A 12438-nucleotide genomic window follows, 5' to 3' on the forward strand; every position below is an offset into this window, starting at 1 on the left:
TTAAATGTCACATGCAAGATATTATCAAGTATATCAATTAAGTGGCATAGAACATCAAAGTACAAATATCAGACTATCTTATTTTTAAATTGAGAGCAACTTTAGGCAGAAAAACTTAATTAAATGTCTTTGTATCCAATATATTAATAATTTAAATAATTTACCTTACTGTCTGATTCAGTTTCTGACATGGAGCTTTCAGAAGATTTATGTGAACGGTTCTTCTTTTTCTTTCTCCGTTTTCCTTGTTTCTTATCCTACATAAAATATTTTTAGAAACATTTGCTTTCTGTCTCAAAAATCTAATTTACACATTTATTAATATAAAACTTTTATCAGTGAACAAAATTTCACAAAAGGATCAGTTTCTATATTTTTTTCTTAATACTTAATACATCACTTTCCTGTTATAAAGATCAAGTGATTTGAATCACATGTAATGCCTAGCATCTAGTCAAATAGCATTTGATTTTTCAAATATTTTCTTCTACTGATATTTTTAGGTCAACAAAACAAATTTTAAAATCTAAAAAATATATTATATACCAATATTTAAGTTCCTAGTTACCACTCACTCATGTTAGTCCTCTAAGTTATGGATAATTAATCAAAACCTGGAAGTCAACATTTCTAACAGATATTTCACAATGGGTTTCCACTTGACATTAAAGAAATTAAGAGATATTATTTCATGAACCATTATAAGCAAACCTTACCTCATCTTCAGAATCAGAAGAACTGCTGGAAGAATCAGAGCTTGATGAAGAAGAAGATGAATACTTGACCAAGCACAAAACAATTAAAGCTTGTGAGATGCGAGAATGTTTTTCTTTTACAAAGTCTCTCAAATACTTAGTGAAATCAATCTAGTGTCTGAGAAACAGATGCCATATTCATAAGTCATAAATATGAAAATATAAAATGTCACACTTGTTCCCTGTACAAAAGCTCAACAAGTTAACATATGTGGCCATGGTCACCAATCTTTCTCTTTAAATAGCAACAGAAAATGTACTACGTTATAAGGTGGTTGGCACCGTTTTTTATGTCAGTGATAGAACAAAATCACTCTTCACAATCAAAGAACCTCTAAGTTCCTTGACTCATCTGGAGTTTAAGCTACCTTTAGCATACAGGTTAAACAAATTATTCTTACTTTTTTTGTTGGCTCTTAATTGTAACGTTTAGAAAAATGGAAAATTTTTGCTCACCCTACCAGATTTCTTCTTTTCTTTTTTCTTTCTCTAAATGGAAACAAAAGTACAAGTCTAAATAAGCTGATGTGAGTTTGCAAATGCATCTATTAACAGTAGTATACAGCATTATTATGAAAATCCAACTATGAGATTAAGAATAGCAATAAACTAAAAGTGGTATTACCTGTCTTTTTTTGGATGAGCTCTCACTTCCACTTAACAATTTCTCCCTGTGTTTTTCCAGTTCTTTCTTCCAGTTCTGCAAAAAGGTTATGAACACCATCAGAGACTATCTAACCTTTCCAATACACCTAATATACAGAGACAGCCACTGCTTCCTTCCCTCCATCCTCTTAATACCTCTCACCCATTTCAGCTTCTAATTACAGTCAAAAGAAACACAGGTGCCAATCCTTGACCCTATCACCAAAGGACCCTCTACTAGCTCTTTTCAAAGAGCATATTAAGGGATAGGGGTTCTGTATTATTGAGCAGCAGGCATTATTACTGAAGCTGAGGTCTCTTTTCAACAAAGATGGCTAGATTCTCCGTCTAGGCTGTAAAAGTTGAATTAATCATTACTGTGATTGATATGTTATATACATGTTTGTAATCAAAACAAGCAAACAGGCTGGGTATAATGGCTCACACCTGTAATCACAGTACTTTGGGAGGCTAAGGTGGGAAGATCGCTTGAGCTCAGAAGTTGGAGACCAGCCTGGGCAACATAGTGAGAACCTGTCTCTACTAAAGATAAAAAAAAAATTAGCTGGGCATAGTGGCCTGCAACTGTGGTCCCAGCTGCTCAGGAGGCTGAAGTAGGAGGACTGCTCAACCCTAACTTGGAATCCAAGTTATCTAAGTCTTAGATGACTTACATTACAAGATGATTCTTCTTCATTTTTTAAAGCATGCACGTAAATACAAACTTGTATTCACCATAACAATAACACTTCTAAAATACAGAACCTCTTTAACTGAGAGAGCTATGCCCAAATACTTAAGGTATTTTCTTTTTTTTAATGGAGACAAGGGCGGCGGGGGGGGGCCTTACTTTGTTGCCCAGGCTGGTCATGAACTCCTGGCCTCCCGTTTCGGCCTCCCAAAGTGCTGGAATTATAGGTATGAGCCACCATAACTGGCCAAATTAGTCTATTTTTTTAACAGGTACTTTTTACAAACCTCATTCATTTTTTCTTCAAATTCAGCCAAAGCCTTGGAGCCTTTCTTTTTCTTTTCTAGTTGCTCTTTTACTTCTTCCCTTAAAAAATAGAATGTACAAACAAAATTTCAAGCAATTCAAATTAGATAAATGCTTACAAATAAGACAACAAAATTTCATAAACTCTTCTAAATATTCTAATAGACTTCTATTCAATGTTGGTAACATTTCAATTTCTTTGTTCACGTTTATAAAAATAAATTACCATAATAAAGCTAAATAAATAACACTAATCACTCCTTTTCTAAATATGGATTATAAGAGCTAATACACCAAACATCTAAGCACTTACAACAGGCACTATTTAAAATACATTTTCATTTAATCCTCACAACGACCCTCTGAGAAAAGGTATGGATCCCCATTTTATAGATAAAGAAACTGAAGCTTGGAGAAGGTAAGAAATCCACCTAAGGTCATAAACCTGGTAGTTTTCAGTGTTAGGATGCCCTGAAATCTATCTGACTGAACTACTACATTCCATATATGACCCATTTAATAAGGTACCTAACATGCTGTGCAGAGAAGAGTTAATACAGCTCGCCTGACTGCTTAATCTTGGAAAGACATACTTAAAAGACTGGCCCTAGGTGGGCATCTGGGAACTTGAATTCGGAGGATTCTTACTATTCTCTGATAAGAGCAGATCATTGTTCCTAAAACTGTTTGTACAAACAATGTAGTTCAAGCTAAATACCTGTTTTCCTTCTGGGAAGCTGGAATTTTTTTTAAAAAGAGACAAGGCCTTGCTCTGTCACCCAAGCTAGAATGTAGTGGCATGATCATAGTTCACTGTAATCTTCAACTCCTGGCCTCAAGCAATCCTCCTGCCTCAGTATCCCAAGTAGCTAAGACTACAGGCATGTACTACCACATCCAGCTAATTAAAAAAAAAAAAAAAAACACATAAATATTTTTTGTAGAGACAGCATCTTGCTACGTTGCCCAGGCTGATCTCAAACTCCTGGCCTCAAGCAATCCTCCTGCCTCGGCCTCCTGAAGTGCTGAAACTGTAGGCATGAGCAACCATGCCCAGCCCTGGAATCTGGAATTTTGGTACATGACAGGCAGAGGCTGACCAGCCTCAATAAAAACCCTGGGCACTGAGTCTCTAATGAGCTTCAATTGGTTGCCAAAATCTCACATGTATTATCACAACTCCTTACTAAGGGCATTAAGTGCCTCTCACGTGATCCCACTAGGGGAGGACCCTTCAAAGCCTGTTCCGGGACTTACCCAAACTTTGCTCCCTGTGCCTTTTCCTTTTGCTGATTGTGCTTGGTAGCCCTTCACAGTAATAAATCTTACCATGAGTACGACTATCTGCTGAAACTCCAGTGAGTCCCTACGAGTTACTCAACCTGAGGGCTGTCTTGATGATTTCTGATACACATGTAATATATTTACTTGGACATTTCTCCTCGAAAGTTCATTCCCTCTCCCCATTAAAACATACTTTGTTTTGGGATAATGCATTTTCTGGTATGCTGCAATGGTTAACAATGGCATTCACACACACTGGTAAACAATCCTTACTTCTTATTTAACTCAAAGGAAGGATTCCCTATTATACATAAGCATACTTTTCAACCAGTTGCCTAGTTTTCAGGGGCACTTGGGATTCTGAAGTTAACAGCTCTGAAGCCTGTTGTATGTTGTCTCAGGAGTAAGGTATTAATAACGAGGAAGACATACTAAAGAATAACATGGCCCATACTCTGATGCTTTATTTACAAAAATCAGTCAGTTTTTCTAATTCATTGAAAAGCTGGCAGATAAAACTAGAAACAAAGCTGAATATTATTCTTCCTGCTATCTGGTTACACATCAGTAAAGGACAAGACTACTTAAACTCACTAAATAGCTTTGACCACTGCAAGGTTAGGGTCTTTTATGGAATAGAGAAGAGACTGGTATGAAAAAGTTACCTGGCAGTGCTTTGGCTATACTGGGTAGTGGGTTCTTAAATGTTTGCTTTATAATTGTACACGTGTTTCACACATTCAAAAGAAAGCACATATCAAATGTTACTTAAAAAAATTACTTATCTGGCAATTGCTTGGTAATCAATAAAATCAATTAAAGTCTTAAGAATAAACTTTAAAAAGTTGATAAAAGCTTATAAATAGGTAAAGTGTTTCACAAATACCAGGTAGGCCTTGGTCGATTCAGATAATCCTGTATTGTTGGCCCTGAAGACTGGATTGGACCCCTTGATCTCGCCATTGCTATTGGGTTCATATAGGCCTTGGGGAAAGAACAACAATTAATCCATTAAAGCAATCATTAAACATGCAAAACCTCACTTACTCATCAAGTAATCTTTACTATAAATGCATAATATATCCAGCTAAGTATATGCAATCTGACTAACCAACTCTTTATTCTAAAAAAATTAATTTAATCCTCTTTTAAGTCTTAAAAGTTTGGGAGAAAATTGTGTGTGTGTGTGTGTGTGTGTGTGTGTGTGTGTGTGTTTTACAAGAGATTTGATGAAATAATAGATACCTCTGACCTACTGATGGCTTTACAGCTCTTTCTCCTAAAGCCCAGTAACCCTGTGAGGGTGATAACAGTATGTTCACTAGAAAATTAAGAAACTCAATTCCAGGCTTGGTGCAGTGGCTCACGCCTGTAACCCCAGCACTTTGGGAGGTTGAGGCAGGTGGAACACCTGAAGTCAGGAATTCAAGACCAGCCTGGCCGACGTGGTGAAACCCTGCCTCTACTAAAAATACAAAAATTAGTCAGGTATGGTGGCACACGCCTGTAATCCTAGCTACTCGGGAGGTTGAGACAGGAGAATCACTTGAACCCGGGAGGTAGAGGTTGCAGTGAGCTGAGATCGTGCCACTGCACTCCAGCCTGGGCGACAGAGCGACTCCCTCTCAAAATAAAATAAATAACATAACATAACATAACATAACATAACATAACATAACATAAATAACATAAAATAACATAACATAAAATAAAATAAATTCATTTCCAAAGAAGTTAAATAAGATCTAACTCTAAATTCATTGTTTATTCAACTACATCTTGTCTCCCACGAAATACTATGTCATAGTGATGACAATTTTATTCATAAATAGTTAACATCAAAAATTGTAGGCAGGCAAGAAAAAAATAAACAGAACATCAAAATGTAAAATGTTTGTGCATCAAAGGACACTGTTAAGAGTGAAAAGACAATTCACAGAATGAGAGAAAATATTTGTAAATCATAAATCTAGTAAGAGATTAATATCCAGAATGTAAAATGAGCTCCTACAACTTAACAACAACAAAAAAACTCCAAGTAATTAAAAAATGGGCAGAAGAATAGGTATTTCTCTAAAGAAGGTATATAGTAAATGGCCAATAAACACATAAAAAAATGTTCAATATCACTAGTCATTAGGGAAATGTAAATTGAAACAACAAAGAGATGCCATTCTATACCCATTAGGATGGCTATTATTAAACAGAAAATTGCAAGGGTTAGCAAGGATGCAGAGAAACTGGAACCCTTTCACATTGTTGGTGGGAATGTAAAACGGTGTGGCCACTGTGGAAAACAGTTTAGTGGTCCCTCAAAAAGTTAAACATAGAACTACCACATGATCCTATATCTAGGTATACACCCAAAAGAATTCAAAGAAGGGACTAAACAGATACTTGTACACAAATGTTCACAACTGCAGAATTCACAAAAGCTGAAATGTGGAAACAACGCAAATGTCCATCTATGGATAAATGGATAAACAAAACTGTGGTATATACATACAATGGAATATTATTCAGCCTTAAAAAAGAATGCAATTCTGATACATACTATATGCAACCTGGATGAGCCTTGAAAATATGCTAAATGAAATAAAACAAGAAAAACACAAAAGAACAAATATATGATTCCATTTATATGAGATACCTAGAAAAGAAAGTAGAATGGAGGTTAACCAGGGTCTGGGGAGAAGAGGAATTTGGGAGTTTACTGTTTATTGATACAGAGGTTCTTGTTTGGGATGATGAAAATGGATAGTGATGATGGTTGCACAACACTATGAATGTACTTAATGTCACTAAACTATATAGTTAGAAACAGTTAAAATGGTAAATTTTGTTATACATATTTTAGCTCAATTAAAACATCTGCAAAAATTTAAATCATGCTGTCTACTACACTTACTACAGCAGAAAAATATTTTAGAGATTTTTTTCAAAAACATATTGAGGCAAAACAAAGCAAAAGGTTTCTTTGTTAATGACAGTGTTTAGCAAAGCGATGTTGTTTTATTAAAATTCGCATTGCTACTGATATAAAGTCTGGTCTTTAATTCAGTCTCTACCTCTTCTATTTAGTTTTTCCAAATTTAAGTCAATAAAAATTTTATTTATTACTATTATTATTTTTTAAAAGACAGGGTCAGCCAGGCGCGGTGGCTCACGCCTGTAATCCTAGCACTTTGGGAGGCTGGGGCGGGTGGATCACCTGAAGTCAGGAGTTCGAGATCAGCCTGGCCAACATGGTGAAACCCTGTCTCTACTAAAAACACAAAAATTAGCTGAGTGTGGTGGCGGGTGCCTATAATCTCAGCCTACTCAGGAGGCTGAGGCAGGAAAATCTCTTGAACCCAGGAGGCAGAGGTTGCAGTGAGCTGAGATTGTGCCACTTCACTCCAGCCTGGGCGAAAGAGCAAGACTGTCTCAAAAAAAAAAAAAAAAAAAAAAAAAAGAAAGGGTCTTGCTCTTTTGCCCAGGCTGGAGTACAGTGGTCAGTGGTGTGATCATATCTCACTGCAACTTTGAAAAATCCCCCTACCTCAGCCTCCTGAGTAGCTAGGACAACAGGTGTGAGCCACCGTGCCCAGTCAATAGACATTTATGAAACTCTTCTACTTTTTAAATAAAAAGAATTTTGATTGAAAATGACTACCCTCAAGGTTGGTTTAAGGTGTTATACCTTGTAATAATCCAAAATAAGTGAAAGGAAAAAATATATTTGTTGCATTTTAACAAAATCTATGAAAATGACCATCATTTCCCACCTTTATAACAGATAAAAGTTATATACTTCCAGATTTCTCTGTCAGAGTAAACAATATAAAACCAGCATAAACAACACATACTGAGAACTATTACCATTCAACTGACAAAACCTAATTACTTGGAATGAAAAAGATAAATCTTTGACATACTTCTCTACAAGCAGGAACAAATGCTAGAGCCCCTCATGTAAGGAATGTTTACAGAATCAGGGCAAGATGTGGACATCATATGCAATGTTAAAGACAGAGGCATATTGTTATATTTTTTGTATAAACTGTTATACCCTCAAATATTTCATTCAACTGCTTTTGCTAAGCATTTCGATTAGTTGGTGTGGAAGTATGACAAACAATGAAGGCAGAAATGAAGACAATGAAGGCAAGTACCATGTGCAGCTTAGTTCACCGTTTGTAAAACAGGAGTATTATTTGTACTGTTCAACACAGTTAAGTTGGGCTCAAAGCGTCCTCCTACTTGGGTAATAAAATTTGGCCCAAAAAGCCAGGTGCACTGGCTCACACCTGTAATCTAGCACTTTGGGAGGGTGAGGTGGGAGGAGCTTGAGCTCAGGAGAGACCAATCTTGTCTCTACTAAACAAAACAAAACAAAACAAAACAAAACAAAAACCCTCTGTATATGGTGAACTGCAACCTGGCTTGATGTGCAAACAAGTTCTAACCTAATCAAAGAGTATATCCTCTTAACCAATCAACTGAGTCTCAGCCAATCACAGGAGCCCAACCCTCAACCAATCCCAAACAGAAGGCTGCCAAATTATGCCCAAATAAGGCAAACTCAGAACTGCACCAATCAGGTAATCTCTGTATGTCATTTCCTATTGCAAATATAGGTCACCAGGATGTAGAACATCTTCCTCAAGTTCTAGAATCTTTTTCTTGCTCAAATTACCTTTGTTAAATTTAACTGGTCTCAGGTTTTTGTTTTTGTTTTCAACAATATTGATCACATTCTAATTTCCTTGGTATCATGTCATAATTTTGGCAGTACCTAATGGCAAAATATTTCAGGTTAGAATTGTAAAAACTGTTTATTTCCAAAGAGTGCAAATATACACATATCAAGGATATTCAGGTCTAAATTACTAAAACAGCAAACACTGAAAACACCCAAATAGCTATCAAACTGGGATTCGCTAAATATATTAAAGTACACACCCTGTTAAATATTACGTAGCTACTAAAATGAATGAAGTAGATCCATAGTTCCTGATAAGAAAATGTTTAAGATTTCTCAAGTGAAAAGCAAAGGCAAGTTGCCAAAATGAAAGAATTATTTTAATAAATAACTAAAAATTTAAAAATCAGAAAAATTAGACTGCATGTGCACCAAAATATAAAGGAAAACATCCATATTCATTCACACACTGGAGAAAAAAATTTTAAATAATGATTACCTTTATAAAACAAAAAATGTAACTGCGTAAACATTATTATAGTAATAAAGGTAAAGAAAATGACAAAAATCCAACCACAATACTGCCACTCCAACTCAGAGAGCTGAACTGTCCTTATGTAAAAATTCACAGATAATGCAGTGGCAATTTTTCATTCTAATGAAAAAAATTATAACATTTACCATGTTTTACAGTCTTCAAGTTATCTAGCATGTATCTTTAAAGTACATTAATATTTTTACATCTTACTGTGTACTATCAAACTGCTTTCATAAAGTACATACCAACCTATTCCTACTTTTCAGAGGAAAATGCTAGTAAAGTAGTATATTCACATGCTAGGACTACGGGTACAATTACATGAACTACTGCTGAATAAGGCTTACTTTTAAGCTTTTGACCACAAACACTATCTCAGTCTGCTTAAGTACACTCCAAATATCTCCATTGTTTATTTCAATTATAATAGCAATATTTTTTAAAGTGCATCTTATGTTCTAGGCTCCATGCAAAACACTTGATAGTCTGCTCTTATTCATTAAGCAACAATACTTTTCTTTAAAACTATGCACAACAGAAAGCTTTTAAAACAAGCAACTATTTTCACAAAGGTACAGGAGTTTTCATTTTTGTATCAGTGTGAAAAATAATGCTTCTAACATTAAGTGGGTGGCATGGTTAAGCATTCACTAAAATATAGAGATTGTGCAATTTCTTGAAACATTTCACTATGACTTAATCATTATAAACACTGTGACCTTGTAAATCAAACATTCACATCCATATGTAACTAGAATTCTCTGTGGCTTCAAACTGCTGCATGAGTTCAGATAACAGAAAATGATTTGTTTCTGAAACTCAGGATGGCAAATTGGTCTCAAGGGGATATGTATGGGGGCAGGTACAAAAAGAGCAATGCAGTAAAACTGGCTAAAGACACAATGTGCAGAATTTCATTTGTCAATTTGATTACCTATTTTTATCTAGAGGATACATCTATTTTAGAGGTCCCAAAGTAGCAGAAAAGAACATGAAGAACACTTCGGAAAATAACAAGCACAAAAGGTGGCCATCATGAACTTAAGAGCCCTTTACAAGTCCTGAATTAAAACGTTCAGTTATAAAAACTGTACAAGAATGCATACCAAGAGTGACCCCTAATGCAAACTACTGACTCTGGGTGATGATAATGTGTCGATGTAGGTTCATGAAATGTAACAAATGTACCACCCTGCTGGTGCTGGCGAATGTTGATAATGGTAGAGCTGCACAAGTGTGGAGGTATATGGGAACCCTCTGTACTTTCTGTTCAATTTGGCTGTGAACCTAAAACTGCTCTAAAAATAAAAATTAAAAAAACTGTTCAACCTGAAATTCACTGGGGCTTTTTTTGGAAAGCAATCCTATCATCTTTAAAACTATGATTGTTTCATCAATGTAAGAAAGAACAGGAACTGTTTTTGAGACAATCTCAAAAAATGCCAATATTTTCACAAGCAAATATTCATTTTGTTGCTCCAAATCAAGTGTTATGGCAAAACTATGGAGTCAGTAAAAAGATCAGTGGTTGCCACACTTGGGGACAGGGGTGGTAGAGGAATGGCTAGGCCGAAGAGAGGATTTTTACTCTTTATGATACTATATTGGTGAACGCATGTGGTGGCACTCCTGTAATCCGAACACTTTTGGAGGCCGAGACGGGAGGATTGCTTGAGGCCAGGAATTTGAGACCAGCCTGGGCAGCATGGTGAAACCCCATCTCTACAAAAAAACAACAAAAAATTAGCCAGGTGTGGTTCCACACACCTGTGGTCCCAGCTACTTGGGAGGCTGACGTGAGAGCATCCCTTGAGCCTGGGAAGTTGAAGCTGCAGTGAGCCATGATGGCGACACTGCACTCCAGCTTGGGCAAGAGTGAGATACTGTGTCTAAATAAATAAATAAATAAATTTATTTGTCCAAGCCCATAGAGAATGAACACTAAGAGTGAGCACTAATGTAAACTACTGACTGGATGATAGTAACATGTCAATGTAGGTTCATCAATTTTAACAAATGTACCACTCTGGTGAAGGATGTTCATAATGGGGAGGCTATGCACGAGTGGGGTCAGGAGGTAAACGGGATATCTTTGTACCTTCCTCTCAATTTTGCTGTAAAACTAAAAATGCTTAAAAAAAAAAGTCTTAAAAAGAAAATCAAGAGTTAAGATGTACAGAATTGAGTGTCAGATGACTGAAGTTTTGGTCCCAGTTTAAAGTCTTACCCCTCCTCTATGCAATGAGGAGACTGAATTAGACAATCCGTGTCTTCTACCTCTTAATTTCTTGTTCTTAATCCCAATCTTTGAAGTGCACACAAAATGTTACCAGAATACTCTGTGCCATAGCTGCATACCAAAAGTAGTAAGTAGAGCCCAGAGCTATCAAAATGTTCTAGTAAATGAAGCTAATTTGGTAAGTTTTTCAAATGTTTTAGAGGAATGTTTCAACCAAAACGTTTTTTCAGTAATATGAAACATTTTAGGTCTGTATATGAAACTGCATCCAAGGTCAGGTGATCTCTAAACATTCAAGGCCCAAGGGTATTAGAAGAGCCCAAAATACTCAAACACCTAAGGATGCTCCTATGCTGAAATGGTGTTATGCTACATAATTTCAACGCCATGACAATCAAGATAGCACAACAAAGTCTCACCTACAGCCAGGAGAAAGAACAACCCGCTATCTTGTAATCAAGATTCACTACCACAGTGGTTCCTAGACATTTTCCATTATAAAGACTATACAGAACTACAAAGTTTTTAAGATGGTGAAATGGTTTGGATCTGTGTCCCCGCCCAAATCTCATGTCGAATTGTAATCCCCAATGTTGGAGGTGGGGCCTGGTGGGAGGTGACTGGATCATGGGGGCGGAGTTCTCATGAATGGCTTAGCATCCTCCTCTCCCCAGCACTGCATAGAGATGATTTCTCAACAGATGCGGTTGTTTAAAACTGTGTAGCAACTCTCCCCGTCCCTCTCTTGGTCCCGCTCCTGCCATGTAAGACGCCTGCTCCTGCTTTGCCTTCCACCATGAGTAACAGCTCCCTGAGGCCTCCCCAGAAGCAGATGCCGCTAAGCTTCCTGTACAGCCCATAGAACCGTGAGCCAATTAAACACTTTTCTTTATAAATTACCCAGCCTCAGGTTTTTCTTTATAAAAGCCATGCAAGAACTGGCTACTACAGATGGCAAGTGTCATCATTTCGTAAATGTTAAGTCTCCTTTGGTGTGAGACACACACAGCTTGCAAATAATTGTTGAATAAAAAAGCGAGTTCAAGAAACGTAGCACATTCGTTTTACGTGCATTTTCCTCATTTTGCTACTCAGTGGCTAAAACTTTGTCACAGGCAAGCCCAGAAATTGTCAGGCTGCAACCTAAGCTTATTGTTATTTCATTATGTTTACTACTCATTCAATCTGATTCATAACCTGAGTTTTTCAGCCCCCTCCCCGCCCCAGCGGTCTAGAATACTTTCCTCCCATCTCCGCTTCTCAAAAGCACCTTTTCTTTTGAATGCCTTTAGAATC

At 36.6% G+C, this 12438-nt stretch overlaps 1 protein-coding gene across 4 annotated transcripts in view; it reads right to left on the reverse strand.

Annotated features, from left to right (window-relative positions):
- FAM133B (family with sequence similarity 133 member B) overlaps positions 1-12438 on the reverse strand; it is a 29633-nt gene that overhangs the window by 16181 nt on the left and 1014 nt on the right. For 2 of the 4 annotated variants that reach the window (NM_152789.4, NM_001288584.2), the window contains exons 2-7: positions 4568-4665; positions 2379-2457; positions 1381-1455; positions 1212-1244; positions 717-779; positions 165-257 (exon numbers count right to left, since the gene is read on the reverse strand). In NM_152789.4, coding sequence (NP_690002.2) covers positions 165-257; positions 717-779; positions 1212-1244; positions 1381-1455; positions 2379-2457; positions 4568-4665 — 441 coding nt within the window. Of the gene's footprint in view, positions 1-164; positions 258-716; positions 780-1211; positions 1245-1380; positions 1456-2378; positions 2458-4567; positions 4666-8359; positions 8459-12438 lie in introns of all 4 variants that reach the window. The other 2 variants (NM_001040057.3, NR_109929.2) reach the window with 2 other exon arrangements.

The sequence above is a fragment of the Homo sapiens genome, chromosome 7 (genome assembly GCF_000001405.40).
Source record: "Homo sapiens chromosome 7, GRCh38.p14 Primary Assembly".
Classification (NCBI taxonomy): Eukaryota; Metazoa; Chordata; class Mammalia; order Primates; family Hominidae; genus Homo; species Homo sapiens.